The sequence below is a fragment of the Homo sapiens genome, chromosome 12 (assembly GCF_000001405.40).
Source record: "Homo sapiens chromosome 12, GRCh38.p14 Primary Assembly".
Taxonomy (NCBI): domain Eukaryota; kingdom Metazoa; phylum Chordata; class Mammalia; order Primates; family Hominidae; genus Homo; species Homo sapiens.
Genome location: NC_000012.12, coordinates 57,431,052 through 57,453,746, shown reverse-complemented (window position 1 = coordinate 57,453,746; position 22,695 = coordinate 57,431,052). Strand labels below are relative to the sequence as shown.

Below are 22,695 nucleotides of genomic sequence, written 5' to 3'. Positions count from 1 at the left end.
CCAAAGTGCTGGGATTACAGGCATGAGCCACCGCACCTGACCTATTTTTTATTTTATTTTTTATGTTTTTGAGACAGGGTCTTACTCTGTCATCCAGGCTGGAGTGTGGTGGCCTGATCACAGCTCACTGCAGCCTTGACCTCCTGGGTTAAGTGATTCTTCCACCTCAGCTTCCAGAGTAGCTAAGTCTACAGGTGCGTGCCACCACACCAACCACACCACACCACACCACACAGGCTAATTTATTTTTTATTCTTTTGTAGAGACAGGGTCTTGCTGTGTTGCCCAGGGTGGTCTCAAGCTCCTGGGCTCAAGCGATCCTCTCACCTCAGCGTCCCAAGGCGCTAGGATTATAGACATGAGCCACCACACCCAGTCCTCACTGGCTTTAAATGGGGGGGGACCCAGACCCCTCCACATTGAATTCATGAAGGTGGGCCTCATGCTAGCTTTTCTCCTTATGCCCCAATTTCTCCAAGAAGCTTGATGGGGAGAAAGCTGTGGGGGAAGTGGGTGTGATTTGGAAATGTGTCTTTACTCCACTTTGCTCATCTCCCCTCTGTTTAGATGATGGGGGCTGTCAAGAGAGACTATTAGATCTAGGCGACAGGGTTCCTAATTGGAAGGCTGGACCTCAGTACCACCAGTGTCCACCATGTGGCAGTGCCGTGCCTCTGGACAGCAGCTGGCTTGTAGCTGGCTGGAGCTTCCCAGGGACAGGGAAGGGGCAGCTCTGGGGAATGGAGTGATGAGGAGTGCCCCTCGACCTCTCACTCTGGGGACGCTGCCTCCCCCACAAGAGACAGGGACAAGCTGGTTCCTTTGTTCTTTCCCCATCACACTGCCAGAGAAGAGAGACTGTCTTCAGGATCCACATCACTGCTACCTTTGGTTTTGGACCTCATCACACAAACACGTGGCAATGGAGCTTGGTGATGTACCAGGCTCTTCCTAGAACCTCAGGGCACTCTTTGGTGGGGGTGGAGTGGGGTGGGGGCGCACTGAGACGATTAGACCCTCCTGTCCACCCTGCATTTCTCCCCAAGCTCTGAAACACATTCAAGAGCTCTGTCCAGTGTTCTCCCCAGCTCCCAGCAACCATTCTGTTGGTTGGGCTGGGAAATGACAGCCCTCTACCCCCTCGGGTCTGGAACATTGGTCAGCAAAGTGGAGGTATCTATCCATGGTGGTGCCTCAGACGGCTTACCTGTTGGTATCAGTAGGCAGTCAGGGGAAGTGACAAGAAGTGGCTGCAGGAGTCACTGACCCCACCTCTCCCCACCCTCACTGTCAGATGCCCCCAGTTTCCAGCTCTTCCCACCCGCTTGCTGCTGTGCCTGGCCTGGCCCTACCTCCCCACTGACACTTACGTCAGAGCTCAGCTATAAATACGCTCTTAGCATCTTAGTCACTTTTCCCAAGAAGTGCTCCTGGGTTATAAATACCCCAGCCATCTGCCTCACTGCCTGCCCTACCACCAACCTGGTTGGGGGCTGGGGGATAGCGACAGGCTTGGGGGTGGGTAAGGAAGTAGAAGAAGTGGGAGTGGTTATCTTGCTCAAATGAGAAAAGCCTGAAGGGGTCCAGAGGTAGGAGCTAGGAAGCTCTAGAAGAAAATGTTTAGAAGAAGACAGACCCACTCTCTCCCCTTATTACAAAAGACAGAGCCAAAAAAGAAAGGGAATAATGCTGATCCTGTTTTTATTTAAAAGTAGGCTATTTTGTTCATCATGGATTTTTTGCATTAATTTTGACTTTAAAATAATATTGCATTAAAGTCCTATCTTGATTAATAAATTGTTCACCACCCCCTTAAAATTTAGCCCCCCCAGGTGAATGACTCACTTTGCTTTACCCCAGTCCTAGCCCTGGAGACTAAGCTGTAATTGGGAAGGAGGTTAGATCTGGGGGTCGGGGATGTGTGGGGGAGACACCAGAAGGCCTCCTTAGATTCTCCTTAGATGAAGGTCTCCTCAAGTCAAAGGTGGGATAACTTCCATGGGTTGCTCAGGAAGCCCTCAAGCTCAGATTTACAGTCCCCCAGGCAGTCCTTTTCAGACTTTCTCCTCTAGGGTTCCTATTTCAGGGACCTCTTACCCTCATAGGAGGGGGTCATAAACTGAGCAAACACAGACATCACGTTTACCAAAGAACACATGGGTTTTGCGCAAACTCGGCCTTGGGCTGCAGACATTATCGACCTCATGGTTCAGGACTGTCCAGCCAAAGGGAGGAGATGTGGGGGAGGACGGGCAAAGGTCTAAAAAGGACCCAGTCTCAGAGCAAATGCCACCCTCTCCTCATCCAGGCCTTCCTCTTCTCCCTGTCCCACTCCAGCAGCCCTTGCCCATTCCAGCTTCCAGGCAGGACTCCTGGGTGGAGCACTGGGGGTGGGTGAAAGGAAGGCAAGTCAGAGGTCCTGGCAGCCAGCTCTGAGCATGCCTCTGCCTCCCACACTTGCGTGCCCACAGCTGGTCAGTTTACTGGATGACCAAGCATAGATCTGTCTCATCTTTTGGAGGGATTACAGAGGGAACAGGTAAAGCCTAGGTTTTTATTAGCCATGAGACCTCAAAGATGGTTCTGGAAGGATGGAGGGACGGGGTGCCTAAGAAAGAAGAGGCATAAAGTGTGAGATGGATACAATAGTTCAGTTCTGAGGAGACCATGTGAAGAGACAGCAGAGTAGGCAGACTACAGCATAAGCAGGCAGGCTCTGTGTCATCTGGGGTGCCAGTTAGGGCCCTTGTAGGAGATAGAGGACTTTTCAGCTGTCTGTTTTTGCTTCATCAAGAGAACTTAGTGAAGGAATTATTTACAGAGGTATAGGCAGAGTTAAGGGAACCAGTATGAGATGTTGAGGCCCCAGGGACTAGCAAGATAGAAAGCCTTTAGGACCCCCTAGTGTTGAAGCAGTTATATCAGAATGTAGGCAGAGCTGGGGCCATGGAAGGGGGTAGCCAGGTAGTGTAGGGACACAGAATAGCCACAGTTACACAGAACCATGACACCTAGACAGAGAGGGAACAGGGATAAGAAATGCCCTGACCTCAGCAGGAAGCCAGAGGGCAGGGGAGCTCAGGTGATAGAGCTCAGGCAAGTCAGCCCTTAAGGGCATAGAGAAAGGCAGAGAAGGACAAAAAATGGATGAAGGTATGCAAAGAGAGCTTTAGTAGTTCACCTGGACAACTAAGAAGGACAGGGGCTCACAACAAAGAGGGGGGTAGGTAAGCCTCTATTTTGGGCAGCAGTGATCTAAACTTTGGTGAATCCAAAGAAGGGCCTCTCTGGAGATCCACAAAAATTGGGGGAAGGGGTTGTGTCAACTCATCTTGGAGTGGGGACCATTGAGTAGAAAGGACAGGAAGGCATAGTGGGTTATGGGGTCTATTAAAGGTGAGCTAAGGGTGTCTTTGCCTGGGAACCAGATGGCATTGCTCATGGTTGGAGATGGGTCTGAGTCCCTGGAGTGGGGCTAGCGGGATGGACTAGCGGGATGGACTATGCCCTAGGAAAGAGGGTAGTGGTCAGGAAGATGGCACAGTGACTTGCTTTAGATGAAGGTTTCTTCAAGTCAAAGGTGGGGTAATTTCCATAAGATGCTCAGGAAGAGGGAGTCCACATTCTGGACAGAGAATGAGGTCATTCCCTCCTCTCAAGGAAGTGCACTTCTGTAGGGGCGTGTTTTCCCATGCAACCTTGGGCTGCCCATACCACACATAGACTAACTGCACCCACAGGCCTCTACTACCATGTCAGGTATGTCAGTCTTGACAATGTTGCTGTCCCTGTCATAATAGAGCAGAGACAGGGGGCGCCGGGCCGTGGGTACACAGCATGAGCCCCCTCCAGTGGTGCCTGCAGCTGTGTTGGCCTTGAGAAGATTGAGCACTGCAGTGTGAAAGGAGGCAGCAATACCAGGCATGCCTGCTATGTGTAGTGGGCACTGCCCTATGCAGAAGTTCATGGCGTAGCCCTCAGGCTGGATGATCCAGTCGTGCCAGCCAATCTCACGGAAGTCCACAAAAAACTCTTGTCGACAGCACATCCTGGACCCTCCTTGGCAGTCGATGCCTCGTCGGTGAATCTGGTGTTTGCCCCCAACTCTCACCCGGGCTGCCACAAAAGGCCTATGGGCAGCTCCACCCAGGATGACTGAGCTCTGGGCTACCTGGCCTTCAAGTACCAGCTCCAGGGTCAGGTGCCCCTGGCTGCAGGCAGCTTGAGCTTCAGGCCCTAGGGGGAGTTGATGCCAGCCACTGGCATCCACCTCCAGCAGGTACTGAGTAGCCAAGGTGAGGTTGGTATTATGTGGACCCAGCACAAGGACTCTCACTTTCAAGGTCCAAGTGGTATTGGAAGGGAGCTGCACAAAGAACATGAGACTGGCCTGCTGGACCTCCCTGTCACCAGCAGTTCTATCAGAGGAGAAGTGAAAATCAAGACGAGTCTGGTTGATGGTGGAGAGGCCTGTGGACATAAGAAGCCCCAGTCATTGCGGCCTTCTGACTGTCAGTTCTACCAACTATTTCTCTGTACTCAGCATTCTTGAGTTGTCTATAGCACTTGGCATTTGCTACAGTTTAAACATGTCCTCCAAAGTTCATGTGCTGGAAATTGGACCTCCAATGCAGTGGTGTTGGGAAGTGGGGCCTAATGGGAGGTGTTTGGGTCATGGGAATACCACCTTCATGAATGGATTAATGCCCTTATCTTGGGAATGGGTACCTTATAAAAGGATAAGTTTAATTATCAGCCCCACCCTCTCTTTGCCCTTCTGCCATGGAATAACACAGCAAGAAGCAAGAAGGCCCTCGCCAGATGCCAGCCCCTTGATCTTGGACTTCCCAGCCACCAGAACCATGAGTTAATATATTTCTGCTCATTATAAATGACCTAGTCTGTGGTATTCTGTTACACCAGCACAAAACGGACTAAGACAGCACTGCTGACAATTCTTTCCTTCCTGAAAATCTTTTCTCTCTTGGCTTCCATGACACAACTCTGTTATAATTCTTCCTGGTTTTCTTTGCTGGCTTTTCTTTCTCTGACCATCCCTTTAATATCAGAGTTTTCCAAGGTCTGTCTTGGACTTTCATTTCCTTCTAGTCTACATTAAGGGAGCTCTTAATTAGACTCATGGTCAAGCAACATAATTTTTTTTTTTTTTTTTTTTTTTAGACGGAGTCTCATTCTGTCACCTAGGCTGGAGTGCAGTGGCGTGAGGTTGGCTCACTGCAACCTCTGCCTCCTGGGTTCAAGTGATTCTTCTGCCTCAGCCTCCTGAATAGCTGGGATTACAGGTGCCTGCCACCACTCCCAGTTAATTTTTGTATTTTTAGTAGAGATGGGGTTTCACCATGTTGGCCAGGCTGGTCTTGAACTCCTGACCTTGTGATCCACTCACCTCAGTCTCCCAAAGTGCTGGGATTACAGGCGTGAGCCACCACGCCCAGCCAAGCAACACAATTTTTATGTTGGTGATTCCCAAATCTGTATGCCCAGACCAGAGCATTTTGCATATTTGGACCGGACATATAGATTTGGAAATCACCAAGCTTCAGGCCTAGATTTCTAACTACTTACTTTTGTCACATGAATGTCCTGGCAGCACATTAAAATCAATTTGTCCCAGAGCTGGGTGGAGTAGTGCATGCCTGTAATCCCAGCTACTTGGGAGACTGAGGCAACATGCCCAAGACCAGCCCAGGCAACATGGCAAGACCCCATCTTATAAATACATATGTGTGTATGCATGTGTGTATATATATGTATATATGTATGCATACATATATACAAACACAAGCACACACACATATATTTTATATATATATATATATATATATATATATATTTTTTTTTTTTTTTTTTTTTTTTTTTTTTTGAGACGGAGTTTTGTTCCTGTTGCCCAGGCTGGAGTGCAATGGCGCAATCTCAGCTCACTGCAACCGCTGCCTCTCGGGTTCAAGCAATTCTCCTGCCTCAGCCTCCCAAGTAGCTGCACCCAGCTAATTTTGTATTTTTAGTAGAGACAGGGTTTCTCCATGTTGGTCAGGCTGGTCTTGAACTCCTCACCTCAAGTGATTCGCCCTGCTTAGCCTCCCAAAGCGCTGGGATTACAGGCGTAAGCCACCGCGCCTGGCCTATATATTTTTTTTAATCAATTTTTTCAACCTGAAAAATAATTACTTTCCTTCCTATATACCCCCTCTTCATTCTTGGTGGTGCCACTACCCTCATCACCTGTAAAAACTCTATGATCAGCTAGGCGTGGTGGCTCACGTCTGTAATCCCAGCACTTTGGGAGGCTGAGGCAGGTGGATCACCTTAGGTCAGGAGTTTGAGACAAGCCTGGCCAACATGGTGAAACCCCATCTCTACTAAAAATACAAAAATCAGCCAGGCGTGGCAGTGGGCGCCTGTAATCCCAGCTACTTGGGAGGCTGAGGCAGGAGAATCGCTTGAACTTGGGAGGCAGAGGTTGCAATGAGCCAAGACCACACCATTGCACTCCATCCTGAGAGACAGAGCGAGGCTCCGCCTCAAAAAAAGAAAAAAAAAACAAACTATGATTACTTTCTTCATTCCCCCTATACCTTGTCTCACCAGAATGGTTCTAATGTCTGTGCATTTCTTTGTATCCCTATTACTACTGCCCAATTTCCTCTTATCATCCCTCACCTTCCTTACTGAACATCTTAGTTGGGTTTCTATTCCCTCCACTCTACTGAAATTGCACACGTCAAGATCACCAACACCTTCCACAAAGCAAATCTAACCATTTGTATTCATCTTACTTGACCTTTAAGCAGTGTTTGACACAGTTAACCACTCCCTCCTTCTTCCATATTTTCTTCTCTTGGCTTTTATAACAGTGGCCACTCTATCTTTTTCTCCTCTATCGACAGCTCCTCTTTGTCGGCCCAACCTTTAAATGTTGGAAGTCAGGCCAGGCGTGGTGGCTCACACTTGTCCCAGAACTTTGGGAGACTGAGGTGGATGCATGGCTTGAGTCCAGGAGTTTGAGATCAGTGAGATCAGCCTGGACAACTTGGCAAAACCCTGTCTCTACAAAAATTACAAAATTACCCAGGCGTACTAGTGTACACCTGTAGTCCCAGCTACTACGGAGGGCTAAGGTGGAAGGATTGCTTGACCCTGGGAGATCAAGGCTATAGTGAGACATCAACGCACCACTGCACTCCAGGCTGGGCAACAAAATGAGACCCTGTCTCAAATAAATAAATAAATAAATAAATAAATAAATAAATAAATAAATAAATAAATAAAGTCCTAAGCTCCCTTCTCTTCACTATCTATACCCTCTCCCAGAATGATCATCCATTCCATGGCTTTCAATTCCATCTATATGCTGATGACTTCCAAATATATATATCTGGTCCTGACCTCTCCCTGAGCCCCAGCCTTGTATGTCCAAGTGGCTATCTGATATTTGACTTGGACATCCAATGATATTTCAATCTCTTTTTTTAATTAAAAAAAAATTTTTAGGCCGGGTGTGGTGGCTCACGCCTGTAATCCCAGCACTTTGGGAGGCAGAGGCAGGTGGATCAGTTGAGGTCAGGAGTTCGAGACCAACCTGGCCAACATGGTGAAACCCTGTCTCTACTAAAATTACAAAAAATCAGCCAGGCATGTTGGCACATGCCTGTAATCCCAGCTACTCGGGAGGCTGAGGCAGGAGAATTGCTTGAACCCAGGAGACAGAGGTTGCAGTGAGCTGACATCGCGCCACTGCACTCCACCCTGGGCAACACAGCGAGACTCTGTCTCAAAAAAACGAACAAACAAACAAACAAAAAAACCACCAAAAATTAGCCAGGCATGCTGCGGGCACCTGTAATCCCAGCTACTTGGGAGGCTGAGGCAGGAGAATCACTTGAACCTGCGAGGCAGAGGTTGCAGTGAGCCGAGATCATGCCATTGCATTGCACTCTAGCCTGGATGACAGAGCGAGATTCTGTCTCCAAAAAAAAAAAAAAAAAAAAATTTACATGGAGATGGGCGGGGGGTCTCACTATGTTACCCAGACTGGTCTTGAACTCCTGGCCTTAAGTGATCCTCTCACCTTGGCCTCCCAAAGTGCTGAGATCACAGGCATAAGTCAATGTGCCCAGCCTCAATCCTGTACAAGGAAGTCTAAATGTATCCCCCCAGTCCAAACCTGTTCCTTCTCCAAACTTCTCCCCATAAACGCATTGCTTAAGGCAAAATCTTGATTGTGTTTATCCTCTACTTTGAAATTATCTGAAAGTTTTATCAACTCTACTTCTAATTCATAATATAATTTCACTTCTCCCCACTTCCTCTACTACTCATTAGTCCAACTCACAACCATCTTTTTCTTTAACTGTAGCTTTCGTTCACTCAAGTGATTCACTCTTGCTCTCCAAACCATTCTCCAAATATCAGCCAGTGATCTTTTTATAAATCTGATTAGTTTTATCTTCTCAGCTTAAAACACTTCAAAGTCTTCCCCTTGCTCTTTGGATAAAATCTAAACTCCTTGAAATAGGAAACTTGTTTGACACTTAACTACTACACCCTGCCTATACTGGCCTTTTTCTGTTCCTCAAATTCACCAAACATAAAGCTATCTCATAGCCTTTACACTTGCTAGTCTCTTTCCCTGGAATGTCTTTCCAAGATCTTTGAATGACTGAGTTCTTTTTGGCATTCGGCTCAGATGTCTCCTCCTCAGAGAGGCTTCAGGCTTCCTTCCTAATCTATCTAAAGCAGGCTTCAGCCAGGCGTGGTGGCACATGCCTGTAATCGCAGCACTATGGGAGGTCAAGGTGGCAGGATTGCTTGAGGCCAGGAGTTTGAGACCGACTGGGCAACATAGTGAGACCCTGTCTCTACAATAACTAAAAAATATATAAATAAATAAAAAATAGCTGGGCATGGAGGAACACATCTGTAATCCCAGCTACTCGGGAGAATCACTTGAGCCCAGGAGGTCAAAGCTGCAATGAGCCAAGATCATGCCACTGCACTCTAGCCTGGGCAACAGAGCAAGGCTGTCTCAAAAATGAAATAAAATAGAATAAAACGTAATAAAATAAAATAAAATAAAAATAGCCTTCAATTCTGCCTCCATCTCTCTAATACATCATCCTGCTTAACTGTTTGTATAGCCATTATCATGCTCTGTAATCAGTGTGGTTCTTTTTTTTTTTTTTTCTGAGACAGAGTCTTGCTCTGTCACCCAGGCTAGATTGCAGTGGTACGATCTTGGCTCACTGCAACCTCCACCTACCCGGTTCAAGCAATTCTCCTGCCTCAGCCTCCTGAGTAGCTGGGATTACAGGCATGCACCACCATGCCCTGCTAATTTTTGTATTTTTAGTAGAGACGGAGTTTTGCCATGTTGGCCAGGCCGCTCCGGAACTCCTGACCTTGTGATCCTCCTACCTCGGCCTCCCAAAGTGCTGGGATTACAGGCATGAGCCACCAAGTCCGGTCCAGTGTGGTTCTTCGTTCATTTGTTTACTACGTATTTCTCCTACCCCTCTTTCTTCCCTGCAGCTAGAATGTAAGCTCCATGAAAACAGCGGTTGTGCCTGTATGGCTCACCATTGTATCCCTAGTACTTGGTATTTAGTAAGCACTCAATAAACACTTGTTGAGACCAGGTGTGGTGGCTCACACCTGTAATCCCTGCACTTTGGGAGGCTGAGATGGGAGGATCACCTGAGGTCATGAGGTCATGAATTCGAGATCAGCCTGGCCAACAGGGTGAAACCCCATTTCTACTAAACATACAAAAATTAGCCGAGTGTGGTGGCATGCACCTGTAGTCCCAGCTACTCAGGAGGCTGAGGCAGGAGAATTGCTTGAACTCAGGAGGCAAAGGTTGCAGTGAGCAGAGATCACGCCACTGCACTCCAGCCTGGGTGACAGAGCCAGACTCTGTCTCAAAAACAAACAAACAAACAAACAAAATACTTGTTGAATGGTCTTTCATTTCTATAATTATTTTAACATCAGGATTCTTTTCCCAAAACATGGATGGATCATAAAATTCATGGTCTCAAAAACCTTATTAGTTAATAAAGTCCTAACTCTTTTAGGAAACAGTTAAATACCCATTGTAATTTGGCCTTAGCCATTTTTTTTTTTAAGTGAAAAATGTTTTATGAGGCCCGGCGCAGTGGCTCATGCCTGTAATCCCAGCACTTTGGGAGGCCAAGGTGGGTGGATCACCTGAGGTCAGGAGTTCGAGACAAGCCTGACCAACATGGAGAAACCCCATCTCTACTAAAAATACAAAATTAGCCGGGCGTGGTGGCGCATGCCTGTAATCCCAGCTACTCGGGAGGCTGAGGCAGGAGAATTGCTTGAACCTGGGAGTCGGAGGTTGCGGTGAGCTGAGATCATGCCATTGCACTCCAGCCTGGGCAACAAGAGTGAAACTCTGTCTTAAAAAAAGAAAAAAAAATTAGCTGGGCATGGTGGCACGCCCCTGTAGTCCCAGCTACTCAGGAGGCTGAGGCAGGAGAATCACTTGAACCCAGGAGGCAGAGGTTGCAGTGAGCCGAGGTCGCACCACTGCACTCCAGCATGGCAACAGAGCAAGACTCCGTCTCAAAAAAAAAAAAAAAAAAAAAAAGAGTGCTTTATTATGGGAATGGAACTGATACTCTCATGGGCTCAAAAAGGCGGGGTATGAAGTTCAACTAGGCTTCATGTAAATTGGAAAGTCAGGAATAAGGTTCTTTTTTTTTTTTTTTTGAGACGGAGTCTCACTCTTGTCGCCTGGGCTGGAGCGCAGTGGCGCAATCTCGGCTCACTGCAACCTCAGCCTCCTGGATTCAAGCAATTCTCCTGCCTCTGCCTCCCGAGTAGCTGGGATTAGAGGCACCTGCCACCATGCCCAGCTAATTTTTGTATTTTTAGTAGAGACAGGGTTTCCCCCATGTTGGCCAGGCTGGTCTTGAACTCCTGACCTTAGGTGACCCGCCCACCTCAACCTCCCAAAGTGCTGGGATTACAGGTGTGAGCCAACGTGCCCAACAGGAACAAGGCTGCTCTTGACAGCTCTCAGAGCCAATAAGATCTCTTTCATCTCTCTCTCTAGATAAGTCAGTTCCACTCTTCTCTCTCTGTGGATCTACTACTTCTGCCTCCTTGTTAGCTTCCTCAGGTCCCAAAATTGTGGCCCAGGTCCCAAGTCTATAGGACCTTTTGCTCAGCTCCTCCTAAGTGAGCAGATCTTCCAGTGTCCCAATTCCAAAATCCTAAAAGAGTCTGACTGGCCCAACTAATCTTTTCCTTGCTAGGTCACAAAGCACCCTATAGTTAGTACCTTTTAAGTCACTCCAGTTATGGCAGGCAAACACAAGACCAACAGGGGCTGTAGTAGACTATTACACTGTTGGCCCCAAAGGCCAACACCTCCCAGTATTCATGACTTTGTGCTGTCCCTTTCCATATTAATTCTGGGCTTAGCCATGTGACTTGATTTGGGCAGTGAGACATTAGCAAGCATGGTGTTTATTGAGTACTTACATATTGAGGCATTCCACTCTTGGAAGCCAGCCGCAGTGCTTTAAAGGAAGTTGAGCTAGACTACTAAATTAGGAGAAGTCATGTGGAGAGAGACTTTGGAGGATTAGAGACCATCTTATATGTTCCAGTCCCATCTGAGTCCCCAAATGAAGTTGCATGGGAGACCTCAGCTACACCACATGGAGCAGAAGAACTGTCCAGATAAGCACAGTCAAGCCACAAAACCATGAGAGTGGCTGGGGGCAATGGCTCATGCTTGTAATCCCAGCACTTTGGGAGGCTGAGGTGGGTGGATCACTTGAAGTCAGGAGTTCAAGACCAGCCTGTCCAACATGGTGAAACCCTGTCTCTACTAAAAATACAAAAAAAGCCAGGCATGGTGGCGGGCACCTATAATCCCAACTACTCAGGAGGCTGAGGGAAGAGAATCTCTTGAACCCTGGAGATGGAGGTTGCAGTGACCCAAGACTGTGCCACTGCACTCCAGCCTGGGCAACAGAGTGAGACTCCATCTAAAAAAAAAAAAAAAGAATCATGAGAAATAATGAATGTGTTGTTTTAAGCCTCTATGTTTTGGGCTGGTTTGTTATATTGATAAGTAACTGAAACAAAAATTAGTATCAGAAGTGGGGTGCTACCATCACAAAAACCTAAAATATGTTGCATTGACTTTTTTTTTTTTTTTTTTTGAGACGGAGTTTTGATCTTATTGCCCAGGCTGAAGTGCAATGACGTGATCTTGGCTCACTGCAACCTCTGCCTCCTGGGTTCAAGCAATTCTCCTGCCTCAGCCTCCCCAGTAGCTGGGATTACAGGCATGTACCACCACACCTGGCTTTTTTTTTTTTTTTTTTTTTTTTGAGATGGAATTTCACTCTTGTTGCCCAGGCTGGAGTGCAATGGCACGAACTCGGCTCACTGCAACCTCCACCCCCTGGGTTCAAGCAATTCTCTTGCCTCAGCCTCCCGGGTAGCTGGGATTACAGACATGCACCACCACACCTGGCTAATTTTTTGTATTTTTGGTAGAGATGGGTTTCTCCATGTTGGTCAGGCTGATCTCGAACTCCTGACCTCAGGTGATCCACCCGTTTTGGCCTCCCAAAGTGCTGGGATTACAGGCGTGAGCCACAGCACCCGGCTTTTTGTTTTGTTTGTTTGTTTGTTTGTTTTAAAGAAACATCTTGCTATATTGACCAGGGTGGTCTCAAACTCCTGGCCTCAAGTGATCCTCCCACCCTGGCCTCCCAAAGTGTTGGGATTACAAGCATGAGCCACTGTGCTTGGTCAGTTGCACCGGCTTCGGGAATGAGTGGCAGGCAGAAGTTAGAAGGGTAGGGAAGAAACTGTTAGTAAAGGAAGGAAGAACAGTGAGGAAATTGCTATTGGAAGCTGAAGAAAGGGGAACTTGTATTGTGTATTGGCTATCACCTGTGGTAACTTAGAAGCCAGGAAAGATATCTAACAAAGTTGTGAATTTAGCTAATGATATTTCCAGGCAGAATGCTGAAAATGCCAGTTGGTATATTTTAGTTGCCTACGATAAGGCATTTCGGGAGAGAGATGAACTAAAAAAGGAACTGTGGCTGGGTGCGGTGGCTAACACCTGTAATCCCAGCACTTTGGGAGGCTGAGGCGGGCAGATCACAAGGTCAAGAAATCAAGACCATCCGAGCTAACATGCTGAAAACCCATCTCTACTAAAAATACGAAAATTAGCTGGGTGTGGTGGTGTGCACCTGTAGTCCCAGCTACTCAGGAGGCTGAGGCAAAAGAATCGCTTGAACCCGGGAGGCAGAGGTTGCAGTGAGCCAAAATTGCACCACTGCACTCCAGCCTGGCGACATAGCAAGACTCCGTCTCAAAAAAAAAAAAAAAAAAAGGCACTGTTCAATTTTCAAACAGAATTTAGAGAAAATATTTCTAAAAGGACTTGCTAAATTAAAAAATAGAACCGCTTACTCTATGTTGCTAATTTTTCAGAAAACAAAACAAAACAAAACCTTTTACTTCATGTTGTACATGTAGAGGAAAGAAAAGAAAAATAATGACAAAAATTCTTTTTCATTCTTTCTCTCTGACAAAAGGTTCTTAAAGTAAGAAATTACCTCAGGGCAAAAATCAAATCCAGGGCATTTCCAGTAATACAGGGACTCAGAGTGAAGATCAAAACAAATAAAGGGTCAGCTATAAAACCTTTTGTTAGCTGGTCATGGGAACACATGCCTATAGCCCCAGCTACTCAGGACGCTGAAGCAGGAGGATCCCTTGAGGCCAGGAGTTTGAGGCTATAAGGCAATATTATTGAGGCTGCAAATAGCCACTATACTCCAGCCTGGGCAACATAGCAAGACCAACTCTAAAACACAAACCAAAAAAACGCTTTGCTTGTTAAGATCTAACATTTTTTTTTGAGATCTAAAATTTAAGACGATGTTCTGTCAACCCTCACAACTAGACAAATGCACTTCTAAACATCTTAAAGGTGTCATCCCATGACACAGACTTGTAGCCTAAAGAAGTGTCTGTCTTGATAGAATGTGGTGCCTTCTGTGTAACTGAGTAGACTACAATTTATTATTTACAGGGTCCACAGAGTTTTAAAGAGAAGTTTAATACTGAAAGCAGCACCAGTTTGGACTAAAAGGGACAATTCAAAATAAAAAGGGGTCTCTGGGCCCCCAACTCTGGGCAGAAAGTAGGCTGAGAAAACTACTCAGCCACAAACACAGATTATTTCCTATTTAAAAGGAAAGACACCTCAGCAGGTAGAGGCCAAGGGCTGAGAGGGTGGATTTGGAAGTCCAGGAGAGCAGTGGTGAGCAATGGGAAATACCAGGGAGCAGAACCAGGCCCTAACTAACCAAGGGAATTCTGGGTTTGGAGTGGACCTAGATATTTGCCTGGCTGAATATAAGAAGTTTTATGGATCAGTGACTGCTCTGTGTCTCCTATTCTCCCATACCCCATTTTGAACAGGAATATCTATTATGTTTATCCTGTCCCTGTCTCAGCATTGTATGTTAAGTGCGTGGGAGGTAGAGAACTTGTATTTTTAGGACGCAGACAGTGGTATGCTGGTAAATGTTTAATAACTGGTCTCCAGGGAAAAAAATCAAAAGCCCTGATTTGTAGTCTTTGTCAATTTCTATAAGACTACAAATTCGCCCACCATGGCTGATTTCTAGCTGCTAATGTGACATCACTGAATGCTGAGTTGGGAGAAGATGTTCACAATCAGCTTTCATAAGTCTGAATAAGCCAGCGCTAGGACATCACTGAAGGCCCCTGCACCTGAAGAAATGTACCAGAGGAGCCTCACCTATATTTGCACCTAATTCAGGTGATGAGATGCTGAACTTTAGCCCGATCCTGATGCCATAAAGGGATGAAATTTTGATGTGGGTAGCTGGGAGAGGATGATTGTATTTTGCTTGTGGGAGAGATATAAATTGTTAGGGGTCAGAGGGCAGACTTTAGTAGGCTGCTAGATTGGTAGTCCCCAGTAAACACTACCTCATGGCTTTCATGCCTTCGTCTAGTTCCATCTCACAGTGATAGATTCTAGGCTTGGCTACAATGACTTGCTTTGTCAATGGGACATTAGCAAGCAGGGTGTATGTAGAAGTTTGAGAATAATTTACACATTGAAATTATCCTCTTGGAATCTGGCCACCATTCTCTAAAGAAACTTGGGATAGACTATTGAATGATAAGAGGCTTCATGGAGAGAGGCTGTTACATTCCCTCAAAATTCATATGTTGAAATCATAACCCCCATGTGATGGTATTAGGAAGTGGAGCCTTTGGGAGGTGATTAAGTAATGAGGGTGGAGCCCTCATTAATAGAATTAGTGCCTTTATAAAAAGTTTCCAGAGATTTGCCTTGTCCCTTTCCTCCATGGGCAGGCACTAAGTCTACTCTCTAGTTCCTGCTCCCTTCCACTTTAACATTCAAAGTACTTTACCTGTATTAGCCCATTTAATTATCTCAACTATCCTCTTATTATCCCCATTTAACACATGAGAAAACTATTAACCACTAGGTCAAACAGCTAATAAATGGCTGAGCAAGAATCTGAGCCCAGGCTATCTAGCTCCAGTTCAAGCAGGGTCTTGAAACAGGTAGGGGTGGGTGCAGTGGCTCACGCCTGTAATCCTGGCACTTTGGGAGGCTGAGGCGAGCAGATCACTTGGGGTCAGGAGTTCGAGACCAGCCTGGCCAACATGGTGAAACCCCGTCTCTACTAAAAATACAAAAATTAGCCAGGTTTAGTGGTGTTCGCCTGTAGTTCCAGATACTCGGGAGGCTGAGGCAGGAGAATGGCTTGAACCCGGGAGGCGGGGGTTGCAGTGAGCTGAGATTGTGCCACTGCACTCCAGCCTGGGCAACAGAATGAGACTCCATCTCAAACAAACAAACAAACAAACAAACACAAAAACGAGGGAATGAGGGGCCAGAAATGGGAAGGGTCTTCCAGACCTAAGAAAAAGCTTGCAAAGGGCTCAATTGGCATTTTCTTTCTTTCTTTTTTTTTTTTTTTGAGACGGAGTGTCACTCTGTCCCCCAGGCTGGAGTGCAGTGGCGCAATCTCGGCTCACTGCTAGCTCCACCTCCTGGGTCCATGCCATTCTCCTGCCTCAGCCTCCAGAGTAGCTGGGACTACAGGCGCCTGCCACCATGCCCAGCTAATTTTTTTTGTATTTTTAGTAGAGACGGGGTTTCACCATGTTAGCCAGGATGGTCTCGATCTCCTGACCTTGTGATCTGCGCGACTTGGCCTCCCAAAGTGCTAGGATTACAGGCGTGAGCCACCGCGCCCGGCCTTCAATTTGCATTTTCTAGAGTCCTGGCTTAGAATTCCTGATCTGCTCACTATATACTCCAACTATTCCCCTGTCTATGGAAGTAACTATCTCTCTTCCTTGTCCTCTTTTATCTATCTTTCTTTAATTAATTAATTTTAGAGATGGGGGTCTCACTCTGTTGCCCAGGCTGGAGGGCAGTGGTGCAAACAGCTCAGTGCAGTCTCAAACTCCTGGGCTCAATGATCCGCCATCTCAGGCTCCCAAATAGCTGGGACTGCAGGTGCACTCCACCGCACCCAGCTATTTTTAGCCCGGGGATGGTGGCTCATGTCTGTAATCTTAGCATTTTGCAAGGCCGAGGCGAGTGGATTGCTTGAGCCCAAAAGTTCAAGACCAATCTGGGCAACATGATGAAATCTTGTCTCTGTAAAAAAATATATGCTGGGCGCGGTGGCTCACACCTGTAATCCCAGCACTTTGGGAGGGCGAGGCAGGAGGATCACGAGGTCAGGAGATCGAGATCATCCTGGCTAACACGGTGAAACCCTGTCTCTGCTAAAAATACATAAAAAGTAGCCAGGCATGGTGGTAGGCGCCTGTAGCCCCAGCTACTCGGGAGGCTGAGGCAGGAGAATGGCGTGAACCCAGGAGGTGGAGCTTGCAGTGAGCCAAGATCGCGCCACTGCACTCCAGCCTGGGTGACAAAGCGAGACTCCATTTCAAAAAATAAAATAAAATAAAATAAAAAATAAAAAAAATTAGCCAGGCATGATGGCGCATACCTGTAGTCCCAGCTACTTGGGAGGCTGAGGTGGGAGGATCACCTGAGCTTGAGCCTGGGAGGTTGAGGCTGCAATGAGCTGTGATCATACCACTGCATTCCAGCCTGGGTGACAGATGAAGACTCTGTCTCAAAAAAAAAAAAAAAAAAAGAAAAAGAAAAGGCCAGGCACAGTGGCTCACACTTGTAATCCCAGCACTTTGGGAGGCCGAGGCAGGCGGATCACGAGGTCAGGAGTTCGAGACCAGCGTGGCCAACATAGTGAAATCCCATCTCTACTAAAAATACAAAAATTAGCCGGGTATGGTGACACACGCCTGTAGTCCCAGCTACTCGGGAGGCTGAGGTGGGAGAACTGCTTGAACCCAGGAGGCAGAGGTTGCAGTGACCTGAGACCATGCCATTGCACTCCAGCCTGGGTGACAGAGTGAGACTCTTTCAAAAAAAAAAAAAAAAAGTTTTTTAAAAAAGAGACAGGGTTGCCGGGCGCGGTGGCTCACGCCTGTAATCCCAGCACTTTGGGAGGCTGAGGTGGGAGGATCACGAGGTCAGGAGTTTGAGATCGGCTTGGCCAACACGGTGAAACCCAGTCTCTACTAAAAATACAAAAATTAGCTGGGTGTGGTGGCGGGCACCTGTAATCCTGGCTACTCAAGAGGCTGGGGCAGGAGAATTCCTTGAACTCAGGAGGTGGAGGTTGCAGTGAGCCGAGATCACGCCACTGCACTCCAGCCTGGGTGACAGAGCAAGACTCCGTCTCAGGAAAAAAAAAAAAAAGGGTCTTGCTATGTTGCTCAGGCTGGTCTCGAACTCCTGGCTTCAAGTGATCCTCCTGCCTTCTGAGTAGCTGGGATTACAGGCAGGAGCCACTGTGCCCAGCCCCTTTATCCATCTTTCTGAGTCCCATTTTGACCCTGTTCTCTGTGATATGGGGACCTGAGGTATATATGGGAACATGACATATGGTGAGGTATTGCAGTCCTGGTGTTTTATTTTTTCTTCTTTTACTCAAATGAGGCATCTGGAGGAGAGGGGAAGGGAGGGGCTAGATCCTGGGGCCAGAGAAAGGAGAGACTCCCACCTCCCAGTCGCTGTGTACAGGCCCAGGAAGTGGATGGGCTCACACCACAGCCTGTGGGTTTGTGGGGCCTGCAGAGAGAGGAGCCGGAGGAGATGACGGCAGCCAATCTCAAAAGAAGTGAAATTTACCAGCTTTCCAGCTGCCTATTGGTCAGGTCTGAGCTACCAGAGTGACCCCAGAGGGATGTGGGGGTTGTCGGGACACCTGGGTAAGGAGATTATAGCCTGTGGGAAGCAGGGGTTGGATGGTTTTTGGGGAAGGAGTCAGAGGTAAGTCTGGCGAGGAAACTTTTCCTTTCCTTGAGGGGTCAAGTTCTGGGGAAGAGCTACAGATCAGGAACCCACCTGTCTCAGCAAAGCTGATGATTTCACATTCCTGTTCCCTGTTGTCCTCTAGAAGTGCCCCCTGTGGGACCCCGTGGAGGTGCTGCAGTGCAGTCCTCAAAGCAGCTCTGGACACAGGGCGGTTCAGTGTTGGGCGCTGGGTGAGGTGCAGCTTGTCCAAGATGCTTCTCTTGGCCAGATCAAGAAGCAGCTCCCGCTGGCTCTCCAGTTCCAAGGTGGGCCCCCCACATGCTGGACACTGACCGCCAGCTCTGGGAGTGGCCACTGTGGTTGGAGCCAGGAGGAGAAAGGCCAGAAGCAATGAGGAGGTCATTGCTGGGGAAGGCCCTTCTTGAGCAATACAGACTCAGGGCTCAGGGTCTCAACAGCTGTGGTCTCAACTCTGTCCTGGCTGCCAGAGGCCCTGGAAGAAGTGTGTGTCCAGCTGGCATGGCTCCTTGTTGCAGGGGACAGAGCAGCAGCCAAACGTCTGACTTGAAAATGAAGCCAGTTACAGGTAGAACTTGGCAGAATCTGCCAACGCATAGTCAGTGAAAGTACAGAGTGGGGGATGTGAGGAGAGGTTGGTTTGTTTAGGGAAAGACACGTCCCTGGGCCAATGTTGGGAGACAGTTGTTATCCATGTGAGCTGCCAGGCCTGGGGTTCAAAGGTGAGAGATTAAATTCCTCCTCAGATCTCTACCCTTGCTGGGAATCCTGGGGATGGTGGAAAGGGACAGATCACAGGTTTTGGGAAAGAATGTTAAAGGGAGACTCTCAAACAAGAAGGGGTCATTGGCAAGGCACTTTAGCTCACTGTCACGCATGAACAATTGAGAGTTGCATTCTTTTTTGCCTGGTGTTTCTCAAAGCCCATCCCCATCCCTCCATCCTCCCTCCTGGGGTTCTCAATCCAGCCTTATTTGTTAGCCCTGGTTGAGTTTTGCCCAAGAGGTCTCAAAACTATGAAGTCTGAAGGTTAAGGGAAGGGAGGCACAGTGTTCTAGCCATGTCTTTGATGCTCTCAGAGGGAACTCCTAAGGTGGGGAAAGGGCTTGAGTTCCAGATTTGCTCACCCTTTGGGGTTTTTTTCTGTCTTGGAAAAGAAGTTTTGAGATTCCCTTTTTTTTTTTTTCTTTTGAGATGGCGTCTCACTCTGTCGCCCAGGCTGGAGTGCAGTGGCATAATTTCAGCTCACTGCAACCTCTGCCTCCCGGGTTCTAGCAGTTCTCCTGCCTCAGCCTCCTAAGTAGCTGGGATTACAGGTGCGTGCCACCATGCCTGGTTAATTTTTGTATTTTTAGTAGAGACGGGGTTTCACCATGTTGTTCAGGCTGGTCTTGAACTCCTGACCTTGTGATCCACCCGCCTCGGCCTCCCAACATGCTGGGATTACAGGCGTGAGCCACCGTGCCTGGCCAGGAGTATAGGTTTTAAATCCAGGTATTCTTGGTTGTTGTTCTTCAGTTCTTGCACTTGTCTCAGAAACATTTCAGGCTTTCATTCTGTGTCATGGCACTGAGAAAATAAAACAATTTTAATCTGGGAAATGCAAGTCTTTGAAGATTATCAGGCTCAGAGAGACATTAAAATGAGACAGCAGACCAGGCATGGCGGCTCAAGCCTATAATCCCAGCACTTTAGGAGGCCAAAGCGGGCAAATCATTTGAACTCACGAGTTCAAGACCAGACTGGGCAACATAGCCAGACCCTATCCATACTAAAATAAAAAATAAATAAATAAAATAAAATTTAAAAAAAGCTGGGAGTGGTGGTGTGTTCCTGTAGTCCCAGCTACTCAGGAGGCTGAGACTGGAGGATCATTTGAGCCCAGGAGGTTGAAGGTGCAGTGAGCTGTAATTGTACTGCTGCACACCTGCCTGGGAAATAGAGTGAGAGCCTGTCTCAAAAAAATAAATAAAAAATAAATAAATAAAATGAGAGGGCAATCATGTCCTACTTCCTGCTTTTGAGCTATGTATTCATCTCTTGAAATTGCTTGCTATTGCCACAAGTAACTATAAATTAACATAATAATGCTGCACTGGACACTATAACCTAGATCCTATAGCTTAACAATCTATAGCCAATCACTAATCAATGTTATTTCTGTAAACCAACAAGAATACCCGACAACTTTGTATCAGTCTACTCCCTGTCTCCTTCTTTTTTGCCCTTAAAAATGTGCTTGTAGGCTGGGCGTGATGGCTCACGTCTGTAATTCCAGCACTTTGGGAGGCTGAAGTGGGCAGTTCACTTGAGGTCAGGAGTTCGAGACGAGCCTGGCCAGCATGGTGATACCCCATCTGTACTAAAAATACCAAAGAAAAATAAAAAAATAAATAAAATAAAAATAAGCCGGGCGTGGTGGCACATGCCTGTAGTCCCAGCTACCTGAGAGGCTGAGGCAGGAGAATCACTTGAACCCGGGAGGTGGAGGTTGCAGTGAGCTGAGATCATGCCACTGCACTCCAGCCTGGGCGACAGAGCAAGACTCCGTCTCAAAAAAAATAAAAAAAAATCTGGAACTTTGGTTTCATTATTGTGCCTCAGGTTTCCTCATCTATAAAACAGGTATAATAATAGTACCTATTGTATTGAGGATTTGATACTAACAATAGATGTAGAATGCTACACATTTTATATTGTACTTACATACACATAATACAAATATTAGCTATTATTTCCTACTGGTCATCACTGCCTGGTCTGGAACTCCTGAGCTCAAATGATCCACCTGCCTTGGCCTCCCAAAGTGCTAGGTGTGAGCCACTGCGCCCGGCCAAGACAAAAAGTTTAAATCGTGGTGAAAAGTGGCAGGTTAGATCAGTTCAGTTCAGTTGTATTTTTCTTCCCCCGTTGTTGTTCTCTAGAGGGTTGAGAGAATTTGGGGGCAGGAGGCAGTGATGACCAGGAGAGAGGGCTGGGCAAGGTGGCTCACACCTGTAATCCCAGAACTTTGGAAGGCCGAGGCGGGTGGATCACCTGAGGCCAGGAGTTCGAGATTAGCCTGGCCAACATGGCAAAACCCCGTCTCTACTAAAAATACAAAAAATAGCCGGGTGTGATGGTGCGTGCCTGTAGTCCCAGCTACTCCGGACGCTGAGGCAGGAGAATCACTTGAACCTGAGAGGTGAAGGTTGTAGTGAACCGACATTGCACCACTGCAATCTAGTTGCCTGGGTGACAAAGCGAGACCCCATCTCAAAATAAATAAAACAAACAAACAAACAAACAAAAAACGCCAACCAACCTGGAACTTGCTCATCCTTGAAGGAAAGATGAACTTCATGCCTCTATGACTTTGCTGGAATCTCCATTCTTACCTCTCTAGTGAACTATTTATAGTCTCAAGATTAGCTGGAGTTTCACCTGTAGTTTCTCTGTAACTTACTCAATCTCTTTTACCGCTAAGAACGAATTGCTGTTCCTTGTGTTTCCATAGCACATTTAAACCTTTCTATTATAGCACTTAAATTGTACTATAATTATTTGACTTTTTTTGCCTACCGCAGTTTCTGTCACAAGGTAAATATTTAATGGTCGAATTCTACAAAAGACTACATTGCTTCTTTGAGGGAGTTTGGTCAGTAAATTATCCACACACACATAATCAATAACTAAATTGATTCTGCCTAGAATGGACAAAACGGGGGAGGCTGGACATTTAAGACGATTTTTGAGAACTGTATCTTAGAGAGGGGATGATGGTAAGAATGTGATCTTAATAGGACAGACTGAGTTCCTCCTAGGTCGGTTTTTTTCATCTTTACGTAAAATGGACATTTACCTGCTCAACTATAGTTATCCACGTATGCAACAAATACCGAGTGTACGTTCTTTTGGTACAGGAGTTACTGCCCTAAGTGAAAGTGCTCTGTAAATGGAAATTACTTTAGAATGATCACTATTAGTATTATATTGAAATCCAGGGTATTCTATCTGACAGACTTGAAGGGTTTAAGGAGGACCGAGGCTCCCAGTGACTCCGGATTGGTGTCCTGACACAGGTAACGCGGAAGGAGGAGAGGGCGAGCGAGCGAGTGCGAGTGCGCGCGCGCCGGCGGGAGTGCGTGCGGCAGGCGGTAGGCCCCGCAGGGCTGCTGAGGGGCACGCGGGAAGCCAGGAAGCAGGGACGGCCGGAACGCAGGACGAGGTGACGACAACGC

At 47.1% G+C, this 22,695-nt stretch overlaps 2 protein-coding genes and 1 long non-coding RNA gene across 4 annotated transcripts in view; 1 reads left to right on the top strand and 2 right to left on the bottom strand.

Annotated features, from left to right (window-relative positions):
* Positions 1-1,684: 1,684 nt before the first annotated feature.
* On the bottom strand, positions 1,685-18,963 carry INHBC (inhibin subunit beta C). The gene is made up of 2 exons (NM_005538.4): positions 18,548-18,963; positions 1,685-4,470 (listed from the first exon to the last, which is right to left on the bottom strand). Exons 1-2 carry the CDS (start codon positions 18,858-18,860, stop codon positions 3,725-3,727), a joined length of 1,059 nt encoding a protein of 352 aa, NP_005529.1. The 5' UTR covers positions 18,861-18,963; the 3' UTR covers positions 1,685-3,724.
* An 848-nt stretch (positions 18,964-19,811) lies between these two features.
* On the bottom strand, positions 19,812-22,631 carry R3HDM2-DT (R3HDM2 divergent transcript). Its single transcript, NR_185976.1, has 2 exons — positions 22,317-22,631; positions 19,812-20,044 (listed from the first exon to the last, which is right to left on the bottom strand). It is a non-coding gene; the product is annotated as a R3HDM2 divergent transcript (long non-coding RNA).
* R3HDM2 (R3H domain containing 2) overlaps positions 22,606-22,695 on the top strand; it is a 177,378-nt gene continuing 177,288 nt past the window's right edge. For both annotated transcript variants that reach the window (XM_047428533.1, XM_047428528.1), the window contains exon 1: positions 22,606-22,682. The gene's annotated coding sequence lies outside the window, so the exon portion shown is untranslated. The remainder of the gene's footprint in view (positions 22,683-22,695) is intronic.

Bases quoted from the DNA above. Each gene is read 5' to 3' on its own strand.
- INHBC (NM_005538.4), bottom strand. From the start codon at position 18,860: ATGACCTCCTCATTGCTTCTGGCCTTTCTCCTCCTGGCTCCAACCACA. The intron at 4,471-18,547 runs GTGGGTTCCTGA...TTATGTCCACAG, and splicing joins CATCAGCTTTGCTGAGACAG to GCCTCTCCACCATCAACCAG.